The sequence below is a fragment of the Homo sapiens genome, chromosome 5 (genome assembly GCF_000001405.40).
Source record: "Homo sapiens chromosome 5, GRCh38.p14 Primary Assembly".
In the NCBI taxonomy this organism is placed as follows: Eukaryota; Metazoa; Chordata; class Mammalia; order Primates; family Hominidae; genus Homo; species Homo sapiens.
The window spans coordinates 131529758-131555963 of NC_000005.10; the positions used below are offsets into that span (position 1 = coordinate 131529758).

General features: G+C 35.4%; 1 protein-coding gene across 6 annotated transcripts in view, besides 2 other annotated features; it reads right to left on the reverse strand.

The window, feature by feature from the left end:
* The window catches only part of RAPGEF6 (Rap guanine nucleotide exchange factor 6), a 211309-nt gene that overhangs the window by 105837 nt on the left and 79266 nt on the right, over positions 1–26206 (reverse strand). For all 6 annotated transcript variants that reach the window (NM_016340.6, NM_001164388.2, NM_001164386.2 and 3 more), the window contains exon 6: positions 18290–18433. In NM_016340.6, coding sequence (NP_057424.3) covers positions 18290–18433 — 144 coding nt within the window. The remainder of the gene's footprint in view (positions 1–18289; positions 18434–26206) is intronic.
* Positions 6739–7033: a silencer, noted in NCBI's record as "tiled region #5338; HepG2 Repressive non-DNase unmatched - State 15:Elon". NCBI's record gives its function as "represses a minimal TATA promoter and a strong SV40 promoter by Sharpr-MPRA in HepG2 cells {active_cell/tissue: HepG2}" and the evidence as "EXISTENCE:reporter gene assay evidence [ECO:0000049][PMID:27701403]".
* Positions 6789–7018: an enhancer, noted in NCBI's record as "active region_23055". NCBI's record gives its function as "activates an Ori minimal core promoter by ATAC-STARR-seq in GM12878 lymphoblastoid cells {active_cell/tissue: GM12878}" and the evidence as "EXISTENCE:reporter gene assay evidence [ECO:0000049][PMID:35858748]".

The following is a 26206-nucleotide window of genomic DNA, read 5'->3' on the forward strand; positions in this document are numbered from 1 at the left end:
GAAAATTGGCCAGGGATGTGGTGTGCATCTGTGGTCCCAGCTGTGTGGGAGGATCCCTTGAGCCCAGGAGTTCAAGGCTGCAGTGAGCCATGATTACACCACTGCACTCCAGCCTGGGCAACAGAGCAGGGCCTTGTCTCCCTCTTTTTTTTTTTTTTTTTTTTTTTGAGACAGGGTCTCACCCTGTCCACCCAGGCTAGAGTGTAGTGTCACGATTTCAGCTCACTGCAACCTCTGCCTCCCGGATTCAAGCGATTCTCCCACCTCAACCTCCCGAGTAGCTGGGACTACAGATATGTGGCACCACACCTGGCTAATTTTTATATTTTTAATAGACACGGGGTTTCACCATGTTGGCCAAGCTTGAGGACCACATCTCTTAAGAAAAAAAAAAAAAGTAAAATAACAAAAACATAACTAACTACTAATAAAAGTAATTAACAAAGGAAAAAAAAAGCATGAGCTCAGACTTCTCATCAGCAACACTGGAGGCCAGAAGACAGTGTAGTAACTTTTTCAAACTGCTAAAGAAAAAAGACTTTGGATTTATTATTTTATATTGAACTAAACAATTATCTTAAGAGTAAATATAAAGGAAGGCATTTATGATTCATTCTTCCCCAACCCCCAGTAGAACCATGCTAATACGACTATTTATTTTAGCAAGAAAATTAATGAATTCAGAAGTAGTAAAATGCAAGTACATAGTAGCATAGGCAAAAATACATGAACAAAAATAAAACCAGTAAAATGTACTGGAAAATGAAAAGAAGTATAACAAAATTCTAAGTTTTATGTGTTTAATTGCAATCCAGAGTCAAAATTTCATCAACAGTAACATGAGGGAAGGGGGATGGAGACATGTACTCTTACAAATACTTGATTTACACAGTAGAGTACCAATCCAGAATCCTGCTCATATAATGTTTGCTGGCATTTCATGAAACCTTAGAAGCTGATTTTGAAATTTTGACTCTTCCATATTTGTTAAATCTGGGATCAAAAGTTGGCTATCAGCATTCCAAAGGCTATTTTATTTTGCTGGTTACCTTAAAAAACAACCCCTATATCTCATTCTTAATTTTCTTTAAAGTTTTTTTTACACGGTCTCACTCACTTCCTTTCTACAAGTGGTTTAAACCTTTGTAGTATAGTGCAGCTATCAAGCATCAGCAATGCTTGGGCCATATAGGTGTCATTTTCACTAAAAAGGCCATTTAAGCCTTAGCCAGATAATAGCACAAATACATTGTGTACCTAGGCTTCTTTTCATCTATTTACATTTCAATCAGCTGTTTGCCAAATGGACAGTGAATTTAAATGTCTTTCCAGAAGCTGCCTTTAAGAAAGACATGCAGTGAGCTAGGCCAGATAAAACAGAAAAACACCACGATGCTATCATAGGATTTCTTCCTTAGTCACCATCAACAGGACAACCTTGAAACAAAGACATGATTTCAGACCATACTAAGAAGTGCCTCTATTGTGCCTGTCTGTATGCAAGAGAACCATAAAAAATCTTAATAAATGTTACAATTTAAATGTTTTGAAAAAACACTGTTTTATAATACATACATGAGACAGGAAAGATAACTTGAGTGGCATCAAATTACAGACTATATAAATAGCCACTGTGTATAATAAAACTCACTGAATTAGAGTATATATTTTCCTACAACCTAGCCTGGAAGGTTGTATAGCACTTTGCTTTTTTGTGAGTTATTATGTTTATTTAAAAATGACAAGTATGATAGATGACCTTAAATAGTCTCCAGCTGCTAATGGTTTACTATCTTGAAAATACTTAGAATCATTATTTAAATATTTTCATATAATTGATTTTCATGAGTATTTTCTTCATATTATTTCACTGCTCAAGAATTATCAACTAATCTTTGTAAAATAGCACAATTCAATTGTAAAATAGCACAATTCAATCATAATTTATGACAGCATCATATTAATGAAAAATGTCATATAATCTGGCAATTAGACTAACATACCTAAATATATCAACCATTTAAGAAAATGAAGCAAGTTAGAGTATGATCACTGATAAGTACAGCAATAGCCATAATCAAAAAATAATTCAGTCTGAAGAGAGTACATCTCAAATGCACTGCATTTTAAGTCTACAGATTTAAAACGCACCTTTCAAATCTCTTAGAGGTCACGTTAGAATGTTTTAGATATTTAAATTAAAAAAAAATGGCAATGAGAAAGACTACTTTGTAGTTCTTATTTTTAAAGTTTAGAAAAGAGCGCAATAAAGCTCATTTACAGTTCAAAATAAAATTTAATAACTGGATTAAATCAATTGCTAAGAAAATAACAATTACTTACTTTGGAGGCCCATGGCTGAAGACAATTGGCATAACAGCGAACAAGAAAAGCCATTTCCTAGGCTGGAAAGGGTAGTTTCCTTTTCAAACCAGAGCTACAGTGATGAGTACGGTGATAAAATTCTGTTAAGTTTCTTTTTACAAATCATACACCACTGCAGTGTTTATATAAAGGCAGCCTCTCCAAACCCCTTTTAAAACTGAAATCAGGAGCTTTCAGTATTGTTCTAAATTAAAACGTTCACTTTAACAAGCAAATCACAGTAAATGAAGATGTTTACAATTCTGGCTCAGAATATACAGACATATACATGCGGCCTCAGGCACCTGGCACAGACATGCAGAGTGGTAGCACAACAGTTAATACGGTATCAGTCAAAGCAAATCAGGCAACATGCACCAAATCTGTGTTCCTGGATTCCGTGAAACCTTTCCTCTCTGTAATATAGCTTTGTCTTTTCTTCAACTTATTTCATTCTGTAGAACAAGCACTGCAGTGATTCTTCTGCATCAAAAGCAAACATTGTATCCTGAAGATTAAAGTTTCTTCTTTATATTCTTAACCTCCAGAGGTTTAAAAAAAAAAAAAGTTGAGCAAATGGCAGTTAGATGATATATGCCGTAACAGGTTTGTCCTGTAGAATGTCTAAGAATCTCCAAAATTGTAATTATTTTCTCTATTCACATGCACTGTTTACAGCTCTGCAGCACTGTTCCTTATTCTAATGTATCAGTAAAACAGCACTGTTGATTTAAGTCTAGCTTTTCTGGTTAAACATTTTTATATAATATGGTACAAAACCATTATATCTTCTGCTAAAGCAAGACTGAATGTTAGTGTCTTAATTTCTACTGTCCTTGCCTGTTTCAAAGCAGCTCCCTAAGGAGAAGCTCCTATTGATTCTATGCTCTGCAGTAAGATGAAATATCTAATAAGAAGGAAAGAGAGTGGGAGGAGAATAGAGCTAAAAGGATGACATCACCTGTACAGAAAGCCTCCAGAAACTGCATTAGATCAATTGGCTACTGTATCTGCAGATGTAGCCCCAAGAGCAATTTATTGAAAACATACACACACACACACACACACACACACACACACACACACACACACCCCATCCTCCTTTCCATGAGACACGTCAGCAAGCTAAATTCTTTAAGAAAAAAATTGGCTTGAGCACCCTTTCTACTTCACAGTTTTAAAAATCCATTTTGATTTTTAATTCTGTACATTGATACACAGCTATATTTGGGAAGCCATATTTCCTATTATTATTCAAATGTAATACAGTATTGTCCTCCCAAGGTAAAATTATAAGCTCTGATAAGATACCATTGCATTCCAAATAAACAAGGCAGCCTAGGTTCTCAGATGTCACATGTATTTGTTAACAAGGGGTTTCTGCTTGCAAAATTTGCTATTTATCAAATAACTGTTCTGAAAGATATAACCTTCAGGATCACTCTAAATTAACATTAAGAATATACAAACTAGTACTAAGATTTGTAGGTAGATAGTAAATTTAAATGGAAACAATAGAATTTCATTTTGCAAAGGGAAGCTGGAAAAAAATCAGATGTACACCAATAGTTGCAGCATGCACCTACTTCTTTGAGAAAGAATAATCTACACAACATGGTACTTTCCTGTAGCCCAATGCTGAATTCCTAGAAAAAGACAAGAAGCCAGCAAAACTCACTCAGAAGAAATCAAAGAAAAGGATTAAACCTGCTTCCAGAGTGAGTGTGGACTAAAAAAAATTGCCCCATTTTTCTATAGAAATTACAGAAAAAGATTTTAATTTTGCCACACCCTCTTCCATCTGAAACACAATACCACTAGTACCCATCCTTGTTCTTCATGCTTCTGCTACAAGGCATTAGATACTCCAACTAAGCTTGCAATGGTTGCTCCTAGTGGCCAAAGAAAGACAGTTCCCAATAGTAAAATATAGTTAGTTATACCTCCAGGCGGCAAAATTATGAGAAAAACAATCACTGAACAAATCAAAGCAATATAATTATTTTGCTTTATTTACCTAACACTTTTATTTTGGGGAAAATGGGGTGTGCAACATAAGAGGAGATGTTACCTGGGAGACAGGTCTTTTAACAAAGGACTCCACTGACTGCAGAAGAAACATCTTGTTGTTAAGCACAAAAAAAATAAGTTCTTCAATATCTTTGAGAAAAGTCTGAGTCACTTTCTGAACAACACTATGCTGCCAATCTGAATTACACTGCTACTTATAAAACTAGAATTTAAGTTAAACTAAGTATAATTTTGAACAAAGACAAGTTATGCTTTCAAAATATGTAATTATTTAGATTTTCATAAAGCTTTTAAGAATGTTTTTCTGCCAAAATTCCAAAAGACACAATACCAAAATACACAATACCCGCATTTAAATATAAAATTAAATCTCACAAATGCAAACAAGCATGACTAGTTTTCTAAACATAAAACATGCAATATTTATACAGGTTGGTTTTCAAGCACCAATGTGTTTTTTTTTTTTTCAGTTTAATTTAAATCAATCATACGTGAGTTGGAATTCCACTTGATACTTAATATTGTACATTAATTAAAATCTAATGTTAATCATTCTTTAAAACAGAAAAATGATAGTAGGTACTTTGTATGTACATGAAGACAAACTTTCACTTAAGATAAAATTTCTAAAAGATGAGTATTTTACACATAAATATCAGTAGCAAGATTCAAGAATACCAAGAATTTCAACACCAGACAGTAATTATATTCATGTATAGTACCAACAGAATATATTATAGCCGAATCAAAAAGCAAAATTTTAATGCACACCTTTCCCCCTTTTTATAAATCATGCTGATCAACACACAAAGAAGGACCTCAAGCTGGGCAAGGGAGACAGCCATCTCTTAGCTGCTTTAAAAAACTGCTGCCCAGTGTGAGAAATGCAATCCACTAGTGCCATATGTTAGACCTACTGTAGTAAACACCAACTCAGTAAAGGAACAAAATTCTCTTTTCCTTTAGTTTGGCTTGTAAGTGAAGATGACATCATCCTTTTCCTTTTCTACCAATCATCTCATAGTATCTTCGATTCCAGGGAACTGTATAGTGAACCTATCATGCTAAATCTCCCTGTGTAACAATACTAAGAAAAGAAACAGGCCAAATTCCATACTCAACACGGGGATCCACCAGCATTCTGAGGAAATAATGACTTCACCTTTTAACTACTGAATGAAGAAATAAACATCCTTTGAAGAGAATAGTAATTTATCAAATAACTAAAATAAATGACTAGGTGAATAACCTATTTTTCCCTTGCATCACTTTTAGAATTTTATCACGATCTCATCTCATTATCTTATCAATTCAAATGAATTAAGTGCAGCAAAGGAGAATGTCCTGATCTACCTATTGTCTAGGAATCACTACAGGACAGCCACTTATGAACACGTTTCCCCTGCATATGAAATGCCATGATGCTAACCCTTATTAATGAAATCTTTAGCTTTAGAAAGGTCTTTTGCACTACTATAAAATAGAGCAATGTATGTTGACTTTGCAAAGATTCAAATCATGACAAAATACTTTTATAAAAGTGTAAATGCCATGTAGTTATTAAAATTTATGTTAACTGTGTATATTATTTATAAACAAAAATACAAACTGAAATACTTAAAATCATATTGTTTAGAAAGCCAAAGATAAGGTTCTGATAGTTACTAAACTAACTGTAAACACATCTTTTATGTTAATATGTGACAACACTGAAAAGAAGGACAGAGAAAGGTTACCATAGATGAAGGTAAGCCATAAGAGGATAAACATTCTAGGCATTATGAAAAACAAACAAAACTAATGATAACAAAAACTGGATTTATACTAACCCAGGCATTTTATTTACTTATTATATTTTTAAATGGAATTTATTCCCAATCTGCAATGAAATATTATAATCATAATTTAGAGAAGTCAAACGCCAAAGAAGTTAAAGAACAAAAGAAAAATTCTGTAGTTTTACAAAATAAAGAGGATATTCATTTCTGTATTTTAGTTATATTTGGTTTTTGAAATATAAACTTAAATTGTACTGATTTACATAGTGAAAACACTTTAAGTCTTTTGGAAAATAAATGAATAAATGACTGAAATGATCATAGGTAACATACAAGCCCTTTCAAAGGATCATAACAATCTTTTCCACCCGTTTTCCCCCATGTTTAACATGAACATCTGAAATGCATCTTTGCAGTTATCAGACACAGTTAACTCTAATTACTGGTGCCCCTTAGGACTTCTGCTTTCAAACTGCATACCTATTCCTCAGCCTTCATGAAGGAGGGGAGGCAAGAGTACCAACGCTCTTTTATTCTCTTGTAAGAAACAGTGTGCTTCAGCATACTGTCATATATATCCACTAACTGATCACCCCCATTTTTGTTGAAAATCTGTCACAGCCACCAGCTGGACACACATGCACTATGAAATATGATCCACCCTTAGGGAGTAATAGAGGAAGAAAAACCAAGAAGGAGAGAGAAACCGTCATCATCAACCAAGGTGATGTAAGCTTCTATAATTAGAATCAGTGAAATTGAAAGAACAATAAAAGGCACCACTATGCTTCTGCTTTCCGTCTACACTGCGTATCAAGCATCTTCATACCTGCACAAAAGGATACATTTTGTATATAGTTACTCAAGTATATGCAAACCTAAAGTTTCAAACAGCGTATTAATTTTCTTCAAAAAGAGAGTAACATATATAAATGATAAAAAATGAACTCTCATTTAAAACTATCTGTGAATTCCTGGGTTCCTTTATATCCCTTGTTCATAAAGATGACCATTACGTCCCTTCTCTACTTTTAAATACTACATTTTCTAGCACTGTAAAAGCCACATACACAAGATAGCACACTTAATAAACACATACCAAATCAAACTAAAAGGTAATAACGTTAGGTCAGCATTAATTTGTTTGCTATGTCTGAGTAGTTGTTATTCCCCTTCCAACTGGAACACTGTCATAATCAGTCTTAGACCACTGGTATACATTAGTATCTGAGTTGCTTTAAACAATTATCAAAAGCTCCTTCTTTAGCAATTACTCCATAAAATATTTCAAGTATGATAAAAAGTCTTCCTAATTCTGGTTCCCTGGGCAAATCTGTCTGAATTAGTGTCACACCATTAAGGGAGGAAGAACTGCCCCAGACAACCAGAGGGGCATGCCCTGCTCTGGTCCTCTCAGTACTCAAGCATTTTATACATAGTGAATAATAAAGACAATTTTAAAATGCCTATTGAGAAGTTACCAATATTCATGTAGAAACTTAAAATAATTTTCATACCTTTAACCCAGTAATTTCTGTAACTCAATCCTAAGGAAATAATCAGTCATGTACAGATTTTTCCCTAAAAGTTGTTTGTAATAGGAGAAAAATTGGAAGCCACGTGAGAATACTTCGTTACACTCATACAGCATTATATTAATATTGAAAGTAATGTTTTGGAAAAAATTTAACTGCATGAGAAACACAAACACAAGGATACATAACTAAACATTCAGCATCATCTAAATTAATTAAAATATTTAAATTAATCAAAAGATATATACAGTCAGCCCTCTGTGTCCATGGGTTCTGTACCTGCAGATTGAAGAAACTGCAGACAGAAAATATTTTGGGAAAATCCCATTAAAAATAACAGTAGAGGCTGGGGGTGGTGGTGATTACATCTGTAATCCCAACAGTTTGGGAGGCCGAGGCAGGCTATTGCTGGAGCCCACGAGTTCAAGACCAACCTGAAAAACATGATGAAACTCCGTCTCTACAAAAAAAAACAAAGTTAGCTGGGTGTGGAGGCATGTGCCTATAATCCCAGCTACTCAGGAGGCTGAGGTGAGAGGATCCCTTGAGTTGGGAGGTCAAAGCTGCAATGAGCTGTGATCATTCCACTGCATTCTAGTCTAGTTGACAGCGAGACCGTCTCAAATAAAACCTAAAAAACCAAAAACAAAAAACCACTACAACAATAAAAAAAACTACAAATTTCAGTATAGCAACTATCTACACTGCATTTACACTGTATTAGGTATTATAAGTAATCTAGAAATGATTCAAAATACAGTCATGCATTGCTTAACAACTGGGGTACATTCTGAGGAATGTGTCATTAGGCAATTTCATCCTTGGGCAAACATCACTGAGTGTAGCTACAGAAACCTAGACGGTATAGCCTACTATACACCTAGGCTACATGGTACAGCCTATGGTTCCCAGGCTATGAACCTGCTCAGCATGTTACTCTACTGAATAATGCAGGCAACTGTAACACAATGGTAAGTATTTGTGTATCTAAACACAGAAAACGTACAGTAAAAACAGGCAGCAAAATCTGATGTCATTTATGTGGTCTGTCATTACGCAACACATGACTGTATATGGAAGGATGTGCATAGATTACACAAAAATACTACACCATTTTATAAAAGGGACTCGAACATCCTCGAATTTTAGTATCTGCAGGGGGTCCTGAAACCAAGCCCCCATGGATACTGAGGGACCATGGTACATTAAAAAAATTTTAAGTGACAGTAGCTATCTCCAGTTTTGAGGATGACAGCAAATTCATTTCCTTCTTCATACTCTTCTATATATTTTACATTTCTACAATAAGCATTTCTTCACAAAATTAAAACAAAATCTGCTCTAACTTGGCATTTGTCCTAGTTTTAGTTGTATCACTTCTATGCTTTTTGTCTATTTGTGGACTCAATACCTTCTAACTAGGTACAAAAACCTATCAAGAATTCCATATTATTTCCTAGAAGATAAAGGAGGAGTATTCTCCTAAAGGATGTTAGATACTCGTAAACAAAAACAGAAAGTCTTCTTTTGTTTTTAAGGTAGAAAGAATCACAAAGAATATACACCTGTTCAGAGTATTTGGGGCTGTAAATAAAGAGAGAAGAGAAGCAATATTGAAAAGCTGAAGATTCTTAGAGGTGGGGATCCAAACTTCTCAGTAGTAGTGTGATCAGCATTCACTGTCTTATATACAAATAAGATTATCAAAGATCCCATTTGCAAACTTCCTGAGTTTAGAAGTAACAAAAGTCTGTTTATTCATTCATTATTTCATTCTGAAAGTACTTATGAAATACCATATTAAAAACAATCAGGATTTATCAAGCCCACAAATACAAAATAAAGTTCACAATGTTAACAAGCTTCTTCATCAAACAGTGACTTTCACTTAAACAGTTCAAATTCTAAATTCTCCTAATGATTGATCCAACAATAGTGCTTACACCTCCTTTAGTTTGACTTGAATAAATATTTAAACTTTTTGTTTACTGGTGCTCCATGAAGAGAACTAAGCAATCACATGTTTGTACCAAAGTCCTCTAGTTTCTCATGAGGAGGTGGGGGCATGGACCTATTTCTTACTACAGGAATGGCTTGATGAATAAGACACACATACACACACACTCCATAAAAGCGAAACACACTTGCAATAATACCTTAAGAGGTCACACCCATGGTCAAGTAAAAGCATCCAGCCATTTTTCAGTATATCACCACAAAGTTGGTAAGTGATGTGGTGTCCTAATAATCACCTCTTATTGAGCTGCATTGACAAATGTACATTAACTCTCTAATATGCTCTGGATCTAAACAAAACATGGAGCACTGAAAGAGAATGGAGAACGTGATATAATCAGAGAAGTAGCAATGAGAAAGAACCGCCTGCTACATTAGTAATGTGTGAGCCTAAAATGAAAAAGTAGATTCTAGCGTGTCACATCATCCTACCACCCACTATACAATCCCAGAACAAAAGACTAGATGGAAAGAAAATACATAAAGATGTCACAGCAAAGGGAATCCCTTCAAATTAAAAACCCCAATCCATAATGCTGCCATGGAAATCATTCTTTCCAGATGTTCTTTTAGGAAGAGCTGGCTGGCTCCATGTCTGTGCAGACGCTATGCTGAAGAAAGAGAGGAAGACTAGCACCTTATTTTGTCCCTGAGAATATAAAAAGCATCCTAAGCAACACAGAGAACAAGAAATAAAAAAAATTATGAGGTAGTCTACTAAGGAACTTGAGATCTAGTTAATAACACAACAAACATATAACCAACACTCATACAGGCACACTGCTATTTAAAAATACAGCAGCTTGCTGGGTGCAGAAGCTCATGTCTATGATCCCAGTGTTTTGGGAGGCTGCAGTGATTAGACTGCGTGAGCCCAGGAGTTAAGACTAGCCTGGGAAACAGCAAGACACTGTCTCTACAAAAAATAAAAATACTTAGTCAAGTGTGGTGGCACATGCCTGTAGTCCTAGCTACTCAGGAGGCTAAGGCAGGTCGTTAGAGCCCAGGAGTTTGAGCTTATGGTGAACTATGATCGCATAACTGCATTTCACAGCTTGGGCAACAGAGCGAGACCCTGTCTCAAAAGCAACAACGACAAAAATATACAGTAGCAAAAGGAAGGAGAAATCAAGGAGAAGGACTATAATTTCTTAACTAAAGTATGCAAACACCAACAAAGTTTTTTAAACCTTTGAACAATGTCCAGATTCATATTTGGCTCAATCACATTTCTATAAAAATGAGCACAAATGAGACCTGACATTCTAGAGAATAAAGTTAAATAAAGGCACACTTGGTGCTTGACCTTGGTGAAACCAAGATGTTTCATGTTTATTGGTCCTGGTTTAATTTTACCATTTAACTCTACATATGTACCAATATTAAAAATTCAATTCACAGGCTGGGCGTGGTGGCTTATGCCTGTAATTCCAGCACTTTGGGAGGCCAAGATCGCACCATTGCACTCCAGCCCGGGCGACAGTGCAAGACTCCGTCTCAAAAAAAATTCAATTCACTACATTTCAAAATGTTTACCGTTATATGCTATTTAAAATGAAACAACGAACATTATATAAAAAATACAGGCATTTAAAACATTCTTAAGTAAACTGTTAATTCCATTTTTTGTTATCTCAGAACACTGCAGAATAATATGGGCACACTTCATGCAAGTACTATCCTATGGGACCAATGAAGAGAAGTGCACTCTATGAACAGGAAATGTCAGGAAAGCCTTCTCTAAAGAGGTCATGGATGAATGGACTCTTGGGAGCTGAACATGACTTTGTCAGAAGAGCATGACAGAAGCCCATTCTGGATAAAAGCAGCAAGTGGCAAGATTCAAAGTGACTCATCAAAGGGTAGAACTATATTAAGTGAAGAAGCCAATAAGAGCCTTCCAGGGAAAGAGAACAGGACCAAAGTTAGGGACCTCCAAACATAATGGGGCCAGAAAGCTGAAAGATAAACTGGAGCTAAATAAGAAAAGGATTTATATGCCATATACTCTCAAGATTCTTAATTTTTCTTTTTACTTTTTTTTTTTCTTTTTTTTGTAGAGACAGGGTCTTGCTTTGTTGCACAGCTTGGTTTCAAACTCCTGGCTTCAGGTGATTCTTCCATCTTGGCCTCTCAAAGTGCTAGAATTAGGCATGAGCCACTGCATTTGGCCTCAAAACTTTTAAAAATCACACATAGCATTGGGGAAAAGAATGAGTTACATTTCTAACATAGGTAATGTATTTAAAAACTAATACATGTGTTACTGGCAAAATATTTTGTATTCATTATGAAATATACACAAAATCCCTAGAAACTTTAAAGGGTAAGATAATAGTATTTTCTTCCCATGTCCTGGAGATTGTTTTGGGCTAAACGAATGGCCTTGCTAACTACTATCAGATAGGCCTACAAGTGATTAATTCCAAAATCAGATTCATCATTTCTTGGCAGACATTCTCCATCTCATTTGATTGGCTTCTAGCTACACATTCTATAAAGTGACTCATCCAGTGACTTTCATACACATTTTGTAACTACTTTTATCTTTCAAGATTGGACAAAGAAATTACTTGTTCAAAGTGAGTGATTCTGAGGGTAAATTTTAATTGTCTGATTGTTCTAACTTCAAGCTAACTTGGTTTAACTTTTCTTACCTTTATTCTCCCTTTGTTCTGATTCTTTAGCTTACTTGTTTATATTTACTTTAATATATTTACATATTTTGGTAAGCACTTTTTATATCCAGGTATGGAATAAATAATTTGTAAGCAATAGGAACAAAGGTTTTTTGAATATTCACAATAACAACAACAGCAATAGGATGCTACTAACATTACTATTTTTCAGAGCACCAGACACTAGGCAGAGCCCTTTTTTATATATTATCTCATTTAATCCTTTTACAAATCTATAAGTTATCTATCAAGACAGACATACAAAGGTCATACAACTTGCCCAAAGTTACACAGGACACTAAGCAAGCTGACAGAACAGGCACTCTTATTTTCTTTGGCAGGCAATATACTCTAAGGTTACAATTATGATGGTTGACATTTTCTAGGAGCATCCATTCTGATGAGAGAGATATTTAAATAAACAATTACACTGCAATATAGAATAATTGTAATTATACTCAGCATAATGAGTGCTTACAGGCACATAAACAAGATATTATGGGAGTGCAGATATGTGCTTAATCCTTCCCAAGAAAGAAATCAGAGTCCTCCATGACATGATGTGAAAGTAGGTCTTGAGACTTTTGTTAAGAGGACAAAGAATAAAAGTACATCTTAAGTAAAAGGAATTGTATATACAAGAGATGTACATAAACACATGGTTTCTTCAAGGGTCAGCAAATTTGTTCAGTATGGCCAAAAAATAGGAAATACATAGAAAACAGGTAAAAGAGAAAGTTGGAGAACTGAACAAAGTCCAGATCTGTGCTGTCCAACTAGGGACATGTGGTTATTTACTTGTACATTGTGATCAATAGCTCAATACTATGGCTAGCTAGCTGCTATCAATTTCGATGGCACAGACATAAAATATTTCCATCATAACAGAAAATTCAATTAAACAGGACTGGTCTAGACTATGAAGGTACTTATATGCTAGATTACTGGAATTTTTCTGTAACTGATGGTAGGCCATAAACAGATTTAAGAGTTTAAAACAAGTGACATTGTTAGAGCTTCACTTACAACTCACAGAAGCAAAATAAATGGACTAGTTAGTGGCAAGGGTATAGGGGAGGATGTAGAAAGCAGGGCTAGCGATAGGGCAACAAGTTCAGAGAGAAGATAAAAAATTTTAAATCAAATAAACTGATTAAGTAGATATCTTCTGATAAAGAAATTAAATAATACTTTTCACGTTTTCTAATTTTTCAAAATCTCTTAAAATGAAAAAATACTGCGTTTACAGTGAAAGGTGGCTGGGAGAATTTGAGAGATGCTATTACAACAGTCCTATAAAGAAAAAAGTGAACACTAAAGAAACGACATGGGCAAATTAAGTGAAAAGCACAAATTCTGAAACATGTGAAAGGAAGAATCTATAGATATTATTGAGTGATTAGACTGTGAATACACACACATTCTAAAAATTTCAACAACCACCCCCTAAGACAGGCAAACCCGGTATTACAATATCGTCATTTTTAGAGGTGAAGCACCGAAGATTTAGATGAACTGTCCTCATCATTCAGTTAGTGAAGCAAGAATTCAAGATAGATGGCTCATCTAAATACTGGAGTTTTTATACTTGGCTTGATTACTTATCCTGCTCACTAAATATTGCTCTTGATCACCTTTCTGCTATCTAAATACCAAAGTCATCTGCCTCAAAGATCAAAGCTCTGAAATTTCTGAAACTATATGAAGACATTTAAATTTGTTGCAAACTTTAAAAATATTTGAATATTTTACAAAAGAATATGAATATACAAGTGACTAATAAGTACATGAAAAGAGGCTCAACACCGTAAGTCATCAGGGATACATAAAATCAAAATGAGATACCACTACCTATTAAAAATTTTAAAAATAATAATAATAAAATCTGACAATACCAAGTGTTGGTGAGGATGTGGAAACTGTCATTTTCAAAGAACACAAATTATGTAAAATGCAACAGCCACACTAAATAACAATTTTGGTAGTTTCTTATAAAGTTAAGCATACATTTGCCATATGACCAGTCACCCACTCCTGGGTATTAACCTAAGAGAAATGGAAGTATAAGTATCAGCAAAGATTTGTACATAAATGTTTACAGTAGCTTTATTTGCAATTGCCCAAAACTGGAACAATCCAAATATTCATAAACAGGCAAACAGAAACAAATTGTGGTACATTCATACAATGAAATAATACCCACAAGAGAGGGGAAAAAATATAATTGATGCACACGACAGGGAAAGGTCTCAAAATCATTATAATGTGTGAAAGAAGCCCACCCCCCCAAAAAAAATCCACAATATATGATGCCATTTACATAAAATTCTAGAAACTAAGACTAATCCACAGTGACAGAAAGCAGATAAATGGTTGCTTGAGGATGGGTATTTAGAAAAGATGAATTACAATGGGAGACGACAAAACTTTAGGGTGATGGAAGTAATCATAATCTTGAATACGGTGATGGTTTCAAAGGTTTATTATACATATGTCAAAATTGATCAAAATCAAAATTTCATTTAAAAAAAATTTTTTTTTGAGACGGAGTCTCACTCTATAGCCCAGGCTGGAGTGCAGCGGCATGACCTTGGCTCACTGCAACCTCCACCTTCCGGGTTCAAGTGATTCTCCTGCCTCAGCCTCCCAAGTAGCTGGGATTACAGGCAAGCGCCACCATGTCTGGCTAATTTTTGTATTTTCAGGAGAGACGGGGTTTCACCATGTTAGCCAGACTGGTCTTGAACTCCTGACCTCAAGTGATCCGCCTGCCTCGGCCCCCAAAGTGCTGGGATTTCAGGCATGAGCCACCACGCCTGGCCCAAACTGTGCACTTTAAATATGAGTAGTACATTACCTTTAATAATATCTCAATAAAGTGATAAGAAATTGTATCAAAAAAATTGTTGCAAACTCAGAGCAACACTCAACGGAGCTTCAAAAATGTTATTACCATTACAGAAGTGCTTATTCTACATTAAAAAAAGTCACATTAAGATTAGGATTCATGTTTATACAAAGCAATGTACAACAAAACTATAAAAATATTTCATATGAATAAATCATCTTTTTCAGTCATTCTAAGAATTTAGTTAAAAAATAACTAAAATACAGGCAAAATCTTTAATACAAACCCTTGTACAAGTTGGGTACTAAAGAATAATTATGATAAACAACAGTTAACATCTTTAATTTTTTTTACCCTTCAGCACTCTAGAAAGAAAAAGTAGATGATGGTTTACACATTAAGGAAAAAAAAAACAAACTCAAATTTCCACTGCTGTCTAAAAGAAGAAATGATTCCTCCTGATCTTTTTCTCTCTGAATTGCTGACAATAGAACAAAAGACATAAAGAACCCTATAAAGGCCATTAAACCAATTCTCTACTTGCTGCTCTCATAAACATGATTAAGATTTTTGCTACATAGCATCCTTACCTAGACCAACTGCCAATATTGCAGGACACTGGCCAGATGTACAGGTGTTACATAATTGGTAGCATTAATTAAAAATAAATGAAACCTTCAATACCATATTTTCTAAGTTAACTGAAATATATCCTTTTTAGGAAAAAATAACTCCATTAATTCAAGAAACAGCACATGTACCTAACATGACCAAAAAGCTTCTCTAACCCGGTCTCATAGTTAATAAATCAGTTTTGTCTAAAATGAATCAATTTCTCCTTTTCATGATTTGTCAAACTCTTGACAGTACTTAGTAGGATCACCATGTAACACTAGGTATACATGCAAAAATGCCACTATACTTAGCGTTATCAAACAAACAGAATCCCTAAGGAGTATGCCTATTGCTCTTTCTGATCCCAGGAAATCAGTATATCTAGAAGATGACAACTCTCAGTACAGAGGAGGGCTAAAAGCAAATGACTCATGAGCATGATCCACAGCTAATAGAGAAAATATGAAATCTGTCTAGGATTCATGACAGGACACCAAAAAAATCTGGGAAAAGAAGATACTGAAGTTGAGACTAGAATGAGCAAGCAGTCAAAACACACTCTAGCTCACACTAGGAAAACTAAATATTACAGTTAAAGATTCTTTCATTTATTAATTCTACCTCTTGACATTTTTTCTATAGAAATGAAAATGTGGGCATACATTGTACTTAGCACCTTAATTTTTAAAAAATAAGGAAAAGGCCGGGCGCTGTGGCTCATGCCTGTAATCCCAGCACTTTGGGATGCCGAGGTGTGCAGATCACAAGGCAGGAGATCGAGACCATCCTGGCTAACATGGTGAAAACCAGTCTCTACTAAAAATACAAAAAATTAGCTGGGCGTGGTGGCGGGCGCCTGTAGTCCCAGCTACTAGGGAGGCTGAGGCAGGAGAAGCGCGTGAACCCAGGAGGCAGAGGTTGCAGTAAGCTGAGATCGTGCCACTGCACTCCAGCCTGGGCAAGAGAGCGACACTCCATCTCAAAAAAAAAAAATAAATAAATAATGAAGAACTGGAAAGAATGTAACTTATCAAATATCAAGAACTGAATAAATTATAGCATATTATTATAATGGAGTACTGTGCAGTCATTAGGAATAATGGGAAAAACATTTAACAACATTCAAAGATGTTTAGTTTATATATTTGTTTTTAAAAGTTAACAAAAATTTACATATTTAAGTTTTCAATAGTTAGCAAAAACCTTACAGATTTATCTGTATGTTGAAAAGCTTTATCCAAGAATTGCAAAATATCATCAAATAGTTATATAACTGTGTAATAGGAACAATCTGTTTCTAATTTTTCAAAAAAAGACACATATTACTTACACAGTAAAGCAAAATATGTCACCTTAATTAGTGATGGGAAATTTACAATACAAAAACAGAAATTGTTAAATAGTGAGAACAGGAAATAAACCTTGTTGTGGCTCTGGATATGATAAATTTTAGGACTATTTCATATTCTTGTATTGAATCAATGCAATTAGGCAAATGTGACAAACATTAGAGCTGCCTTAATTCTAACACTTATTCCAGTACAAACAACTCTCGAAATAATCTTTCTTACTCCTAACACCTAACATGGAATGAATAAATATCTGTTTATGACAACTGAAAAAACTAAACACATCCTTGGGAATTTCACTATATTCAACCATCCTTTTTATTATTATTTTTAACAAATGCAAACAAGAGGAAATGCTCTGTACTAATTGTTTTAATATTCTAGAAATCGTGAGTACTTTGGAAACTGGTAACTATGAAACCTCTCCCCTCAAAAATACACCTGATTTTTTTAGATTACCCTTATTTCTTGATTCAGCTACTTTTCAGTCTAAAAAGAAGCTATTCACAATTAAAGACTTTTGAAGACACAGCTTACTTTTTTTTTTTTTTTTTGGCAACAGAGTTTTGCTCTTGTCGACCAGGCTGGAATGCAGTGGTGTGATACTGGCTCACTACAACCTCTGCCTCCTGGGTTCAAGCAATTCTCCTGCCTCAGTCTCCCAAATAACTGTGACTACAGGCATGCACTACCACACCTGGCTAATTTTTGTATTTTTAGTAGAGATGGGGGTTTCACCATATTGGCCAGGCTGGTCTTGAACTCCTGACCTTGTGATCCGCCCGCCTAGGTCTCCCAAAGTGCTGATATTACAGGCATGACCCACTGCACCCAGCCTAATAACTTTTTTCACTATTTAAACAACAACAAAAAAGCAAAACCAGAACTCCCACTGGTAAGAGCATTCCTAACCAATTCAACCAAACAGAAGCATTTAAAAAGATTATATATTTACCTGCCCCAAATTTTCACATACAGAGCCCAGCATGTTGATATTACCAAAGATACATGTAAATTAAAGATACTAGATATGAAAATTAAGGAAGATTCATGAAGTGTTCCTAAATATACTCACAGAAAGATAGCTGTTAACCTCCACATCATCAGTAATGGTTTGGCGCTCTCCTTTATAGTTAATTTTCCGAAATCTTCTTCGGGATTGTCTGGCAGGAATTTCTCTTTGTAGAATACTATCTTCATTATCTTTGGCATTCTCTACCTGAAACACATGTTCATATTCCTGATGAAATATCAAATTTTTCCATATTATTGACAATCTATGGAGTCTTAACAGACTCATAAGGAAGCTTCATTTACTTCTTACAAGAAACTGCCTCAAGAAAACAGTCTGTATAGCACAACGCTCATGAGTTAAAGATTAGAGGTGATGTTATTATAAAGATCTGGAGACCACAGTTTCCGTCCAGGAAACAGTCTCTCTTGTGCACATAAACATACATCCTCTAAGTAAAGTCACTTACCAGAAATGAAGGCTGTTAACTACACCTACACATTCAATAATTACAACTTGAGTTCCTCTAATTACAAACTGCCTGATTATACACATATTTTACTTAGCAAACAATCCTGGTTATGGTTTTAGTTAATTGTTAAAAAGTAAAACAAGAAAACTTTATGCAATATTCTTTAATTTTCAACTTAATGCATGACAACAGCCACAAGTAAGGCTGGCATCTTCTAAGTAAGAAAATAAAATGGAAAATTAACATTTGTTAGGAGTTTAAAATAGGCCAGCATGCATATATATTAAGTAGTTAGTTCACACAACAGCCCTGTAAGCAGGTATTACTGTCTCTACTTTGTAGACAAAGAAAAACCCAAAGATATTAGTGACATTCCAGTCTCACAACAGTGATACTTATTAAAGGTGAGTTGGCAACCTGGCAACAGAGCAAGACCCCATTTCTACAGGGGGAAAAAAATAAGCCAGGCATGGTGGTGTGCACCTGTAGTACCAGCTACTTAGGAGGCTGAGGTGGGAGGATCAACTGAGCCCAGGAGTTCAAAGCTGCTGTTAGCTATGACTGCACAACTGCACTCCAGCCTGGGCGACAGGACAAAAACCCTGTCTCAAAAAATTAAAAAAAAAATTTTTTTTAAGGTGAGGAGGAATATAGACCTATCTAGCTCAACAGCTTATGCCACTGATACAAGACTGCACTGCCTGTCCAATCACAGAACAAACCATAATTTTTTAAATTAACTATTTTTATAAAGGTATATTGATATGCTCTAAAAATCTACCTTTATAACTAAGCTCACATCTAATAAATAATAAATGGTGGTTTTAGTTTTCCCCCATAACTACTCTTTCTGCTAATGTCAGAGTTCTTGATATTACCAAAAATTTCCTAGGCACCCACCCAAACACAGTGGTGCCCCCTTATCTGAGGGGGATACATTCCATGATCCCCACTAGATGCCTGAAACTGCAGACAGTACCAAATTCTATATATGTCATGTATTTTTCTGTATTTACATACCTATGATAAAGTTCAATTTATAAATTAGGCACAGAAGAGATTAATAATAAAATATAATAATATACTGCAATAAAAGTTATGTGGGGGTGAGGGGGCGCAGTGGCGAGTGCCTGTAGTCCCTGCTACCAGGGATGCTGGGGCGAGAGTATCACTTGAGCCCAGGAGTTAACGTCCAGCCTGGGCAACACGGCAAGACCCTGTCTCTTAAAAAAAAAAAAGTTATGTGAATATGGTCTCTCTCTTTTTTTTAACTTTTATTTTAAGTTCAGCAGTACAAGCACAGGTTTATTACGCAGGTAAACTTGTGTCATGGGATTTGTTATACAGATTATTTTAGCACTCAGGTATTAAGCCTAGTGCCTATTAGTTAATTTTCCTGATCCTCTCCCTCCTCCCACCCTCCACCAAAATGCCCCAGTGTGTGTTGTTCCCCTCTATGTGTCCATGTGTTCTCATCATTTAGCTCCTCTCTCTTTCCACAGTACGACAGTCCTAAAAATGTGGAAAGCGAAACTGCAGATATGGGGGTGTGGGAGACTACTGTATCATATCAACATTCTCAGCACCCCTGCTTGTCTTCCAAATCTTTGGTTCAATTCTCTCTCAGATTGTCAGTTCTCTATAAATCTCTCCCATAATGCTCTTTCATTCCCATTACCACCTCCCCTTAATTTAAGTCTTAATCACCTCAGTCCCAAACCACAGCAATAGGTGATCCTGCTGCTTTAGGCATGTTCCTCTCCAATTCTATCCTGCAGGGTCAAACAAATCACCTAGATAATCACCATTACTCAGGTTTCCTGTTCAAAATGCCACAACGGACCTCTAATGTTTACACCAAATAAATTTTAAACTCTTACATTTGATATTCAAAGCCATTATAAACTCCATCCCCAAAATACTTTTATCACCTTATCTTACATGTACAATCCTGGAAAAGCTGCTCCCTTATTTGCTTTCCCACAAAAATTCTAATTAGATACACAAAATTTCCTAATGATTTCTAAGAGTTGATGTCTAATCTGCTTTGTTCAGGTGTGAATTCAAGAATAAGTAGCAGCCAACTCAATGTGACTATTCATGTGCCCCTATGTATAAATAACTTATAATCTGCCAAGTAACTTATTTCTTCAATTTGTGTTATCATACCCATTCTGTCTTCACATGCTATCATTTAGACACTACCTATCTCAAAGGCCATCTCTTCCATAATTACCAAAGACATTCCTCTCCTCAGACCTCGATTGGCTTATTGTGTATACACACCTAGACTTCTCAAAAATGGGACATGTTCTCTACTGCCTTCAGACCTTTACATATGCAGCTGTCACTTCTGGCTAAAAGCCCATTCCCTCTTTGCCAGCATATTGGCCTCCTACTTACATCTTATGACCTAGTTCAACCAATCCCTCCTCTACTCCAGAAAAGTATTACTCCTTCTATAGCACTAAGTATACCAACCTCACTAATAAGATAACAAGTTCTCTAAGGCAGGAACCGTATTATGTAATATTATATTCATCTTTGTTCACCTAATATTCAAGACATTTGCCAAAATAGGTGTTTAATTAAATTTTCCCTTTTGCCTCAAATATATTAGGTCCTTGGAATTATGTATAAAGTCCTCAAAAGGTATACACAAGGCCATATACCAGAAACTGCAGCTTATCTCATTTAAGGTTCACAATAACCCTATTACATAGCTACTTTTCCTATTGTAATAGATGGTACAGTGTCTCATAAAAGTTAATTCACAGGCTGGGCAGGGTGGCTCACGCCTGTAATCCCAGCACTTTGGGAGGCTGAGGCGGGTGAATCATGAGGTCAGGAGTTCAAGACCAGCCTGGCCAAGATGGCGAAACCCCATCTCTACTAAAAACTACAAAAATTAGCCAGGCGCGGTGGCAGGCGCTGTAATCCCAGCTACTCGGGAGGCTGAGGCAGAAGAACTACTTCAAACCGGGCGGCAGAGGTTGCAGTGAGCAGAGATCGTGTCACTGCACTCTAGTCTGGGCGACAGAGTGAGACTCCATCTCAAAAAAAAAAAAAAAAAAAGTTAATTCACACAAGTAGGTGAATCAGGACTCAAAACCCAAGTGTGACTAAAAAGTCCAACTTCATATTGCTCTATCCCAAAAGATAAAAGAGATTATCTACTTTAGACAAAAGTCCAATATTACATGATTCTTAGGTCTTTTACTATCTACCACTTATTGAGCAATGCAGAGATTTAAACAATAAAGGCTTTACAGAGTAAAAATGGAAGTAAAATAAATTTAAGAAAAGGCTTTCTAAGTTTCAAAATCTTGGGAAAAGTACCAAATGCAAAGAAAAATCTAATCATGATTTTTATTCCAGGAATATAAAGAGTTAAATGCCCTTAACAAAGTTCCCACTGAATATAACTGAATTGTGGTATTTAAAACATTAAAGCCTGCATTAAAAACAATGTAAGATTTAAAAAAAATAAAACCACAAACACAACTGAAATGGCACAAAAGGTACAGAATCCAAATGCCAAGAATGATGTGAAAGCAAGAATACTTGAACTTGGGAAACCAATAAAGTCCTTGATCTACCAGACAGTTTCTGTCAAACTCTGAAGAAAAGATTTTTCACTCTGATGTTTGTAGGGAGTGAAATAGACAAGAGATGAAACAAGAGACTCTACCAAAGTTGAGGAATCTAATAGAAACCTACTCATAAAGCTCATCCCAAACAGCTACACCCTCATTACAAGGGTAAGCAAGATACAAGCAGAAGGGGACAGGAAGAAAACTTGCCTGGCACTGGGATAAGAGGAGGGGGAGCAACTGAACAAAAATTGCCTTCCCCTGAGAATTCAAAACCACAAGGCATCCTTCATCCAGATCTGTAGTTTGAATTCACAATACCTCAAGCATGCAAGTAAACTAAAAGAGATTCAGCACTATTAATAAACAATAGCAGAAATAACAAATGCAAAACTTCCTTACAAAAATGCAACTTTTTTTTTTTTTTTTGAGATGGCGTTTTTCTTGTGTCACCCAGGCTGGAGTGCAATGGCGCAATCTTGGCCCACTGCAACCTTCACCTCCCAGGTTCAAGTGATTCTCCTGCCTCAGCCTCCCAAGTAGCTGGGATTACAGGCATGCACCACCACGCCTGGCTACTTTTGGTATTTTTAGTAGAGATGGGGTTTCACCATGTTGGCCAGGCTGATCTCGAACTCCTGATCTCAGGTGATCCACCTGCCTCAGCCTCTCAAAGTGCTCACATTACAGGCGTGAGCCACCACACCAGGCCAACAAAAATGCAACTTTAACATAAACCTCAAAGTATTACTGTACCTAAAGTTCCAAGACATATGAACTCATAGACAAATATAAAAAAATCCCAACTACATCAACATCATGTAAGAAGCAAGACATAATTAAAAATGAGCCCCTAAAAAAGTGGAATGACACCTGCAAATACTCCAATATACTGAAAGTATTAGAGAATAGAAAGTCAAAATTTAAAAACTTTCAAACAAAAGAAAATTTGAAAATGAGCCAGAGATGATAAACAGTAACCAAGCAGTTGAAGCTTGACCAGGACAAGAAAGCCCTAAGTGCCCTCCTCCCAACTGCCAGGCTAGCAAACAGTGAGGAACAACCAATAGCAATCTACATTTGGAGGAGAGATGAGAACATGAAGAGACCCTGCTGAAGCACAAGAGCACAGAGAAGGCCTAAAACTGAGTGGAGCAGGAACACTGAGAATAATCTTCCAGCAAACTCAAGGACAAAGTAACACTAAACAAATTTGAAACCACTGGTGCACCATAACAGCAAGAGAATCCAAACCTAGCTCAACTCCAGTAGAAATGTGTTCATCTCTAGGCTTAAAAGCTATAGCCCTATAACCTAATGCCCAACATTAAATCCAAAATTATAACTCACATAAAAAAGGAAAGGTAAAACAAAACAAAAAACAAAAACCAAGAGACAAAGCAATCAACAGAGCAGTCTACAAGAATTAGAGTGGATCCAGATGCTGGAACTACCAGAGAGAGAACTTCAATCAACTATGATTAAACATGTTATAGGTTCACTGGAAAAGGTATAGACAACACACACAGATTGATAATTTTAGCAGACAAAATAAAAATATAAAATAAAAATGAAAATGTTAGAAACAAAAGACGTAGTAATAGAGATGAGGAATGTCTCTGACATGCTCATTGGCAGACTCAACACAACTGAGTTAAGATCAAGGAAATTAAACATAGGACAATAAAATTACCAAAGAGAAAGAGGAAAAGAGTTAAATAAGAAAAATGAAGGAACTGAATGGTATATTAAGATGCAACTAAAAAGGGAGTTAGTAAACTGGGAAGATAAATCCAGAAGACTTACTCAACATACAGCACAAAGTCATCATGAAGAGGTAAAAAATAAGAAAGCTAAGAGGAAAGGTTGAAAAAAAAAATGTCAAGAAGATGATAGAACAAGACAATATTTAAGGAAAAAAAGAATTTTTGATGCCCAAAGCAGTCCAAAAAATCCAAAAGAGGATAATGAAAAACTACGATACCAAATTACAGAGAAAATATAAACAGAAGACTTTTAATGCAGCCAGAAAGAAAAAAGAGATCAGGAAGGCAATTAATGTCTGACTCCTCAAAATACGATGAATGTAAAAAAATAGAATGTATTAATTGTGTTAATAAAAATAATTCTCCTCCTAAAGTTGTATTAATGGCAAAACAATCCTCCAAGAATGAAGAAAAATAAAGTTATTTTCAGACAAAAAAGAAAAAATACCTGAGAGACTTAACAGAAGATCTTCAGGAAAGAATTTTTAATGGGTGTACTTTAAACATAATACAAGTGTTACTATTAGGACGGTCTCATATATAAGAAAGAACTAAAAGCAAAAAATATTAAATACGTGGTTAAATAGGAATAAATAATGATTTACAGAATACATAAAGCTAAAATACTGGACAATAGGAATTACATCTGGATACTAGCATTAAATTCTTATCAGTTTAGCTACTTATTAGCCTCAGGTGTTTTTAAATAGGTTTTCTTTTTTTGAGACATAATCTCACCCTGTTGCCCAGGCTGGAGTGCAGTGGCACAATCTTGGCTCGCTGCAACCTCCACCTCCCGGGTTCAAGTGATTCTCCAGCCTCAGCCTCCCAAGTAGCTGGGATTAGAGGCGCCTACCACACCTGGCTAATTTTTGTATTTTCAGTAGAGACGGGGTTTCACCATGTTGGCCAGGCTGGTCTCGCACTCCTGATCTCAGGTGATCCACCCGCCTTGGCCTCCCGAAGTGCTGGGATTACAGGAGGGAGCCACTGTGCCTGGCCTAAGTAGGAATTTAAAAATAGTCAGAATTAGCACTAAAAGAAGAGACCAAACACCATTTCTACAAGAATATGGTGGGGAGGAGAGGAAGGAAAAAAGAACTTAAAATAAAGGAGGGAAAATAAAAAAAAGAGGGGAAAAAACAAGAACAAATAAAAAGCACATAATGTGGTGAAAGTAAATTCAAACCTATCAGCAATCACAATGAATACAAATAGAAAAGTCTTTCCAGGTAAAAAAGAATCTCATGTCAAATATAGAAAAAGAAGAAACAGACCCCAAGTATTAAGGTTCACAGAATCCTGATATTTTTGAGAGAAGCCCAATAATTTTAAATATTTCTCTGCTTCCTAGTGAAGGAAATCCCAATCTAATAAATTTCTTGGTATCCACATCTGCTATAAATCATTAACTTAACGAAGGTTTGTTATCCTTTTAGAGGGGAAATGGTACCTACTCATTATCATCAAAATCTGAGCTCTATAACCACTAGGAATGCTTTAACTACTTGGATATCGCTGCTTCTAAACTTTTGCAATGAACAACCCTAGGAAACACATTTTTTTTCTTAAGGTGAAATAATTTGGTAAATACTTTTAAGAAAAAAATAGTCGTGTCAATGCTGACATTTCCTACTGACATTTTAGACTGGAGTTTTTCTTAACATCTTTAATTTTACACAACTCTTATGCTAAAATAAAAATCTTGATTACTAATGACATTTATTTATGCATCTATTAGTTATATTAACTATAATTATAAATTTCAATTATTTCCAATTAAATGTATCATACAGAATTTTTCATAATATACACATAAATATTACCTATACATATATAATTGCTTTAAATTAACAAAATCAACATTACCACTAACATCCTGGTTACATCATCTTGGATACTAATATTTATATATGTATAGATTTATGTATATGTGTTATGTTAAATTAATTATAATTAGTTACATATAACGTGCGTCTATATACACACATATACAGCCATGTGCACTTAACGATAAGGATACGTTCTGAGAAACTAGTTGTTAGGCAATTTCGTCATTGTGTGAACATCATAGAGTGCACTTACACATAGACAGTATAGCCTACTACTTATCTAGGCTATATAGTATGGCCTATTGGTCGTAAGCTAC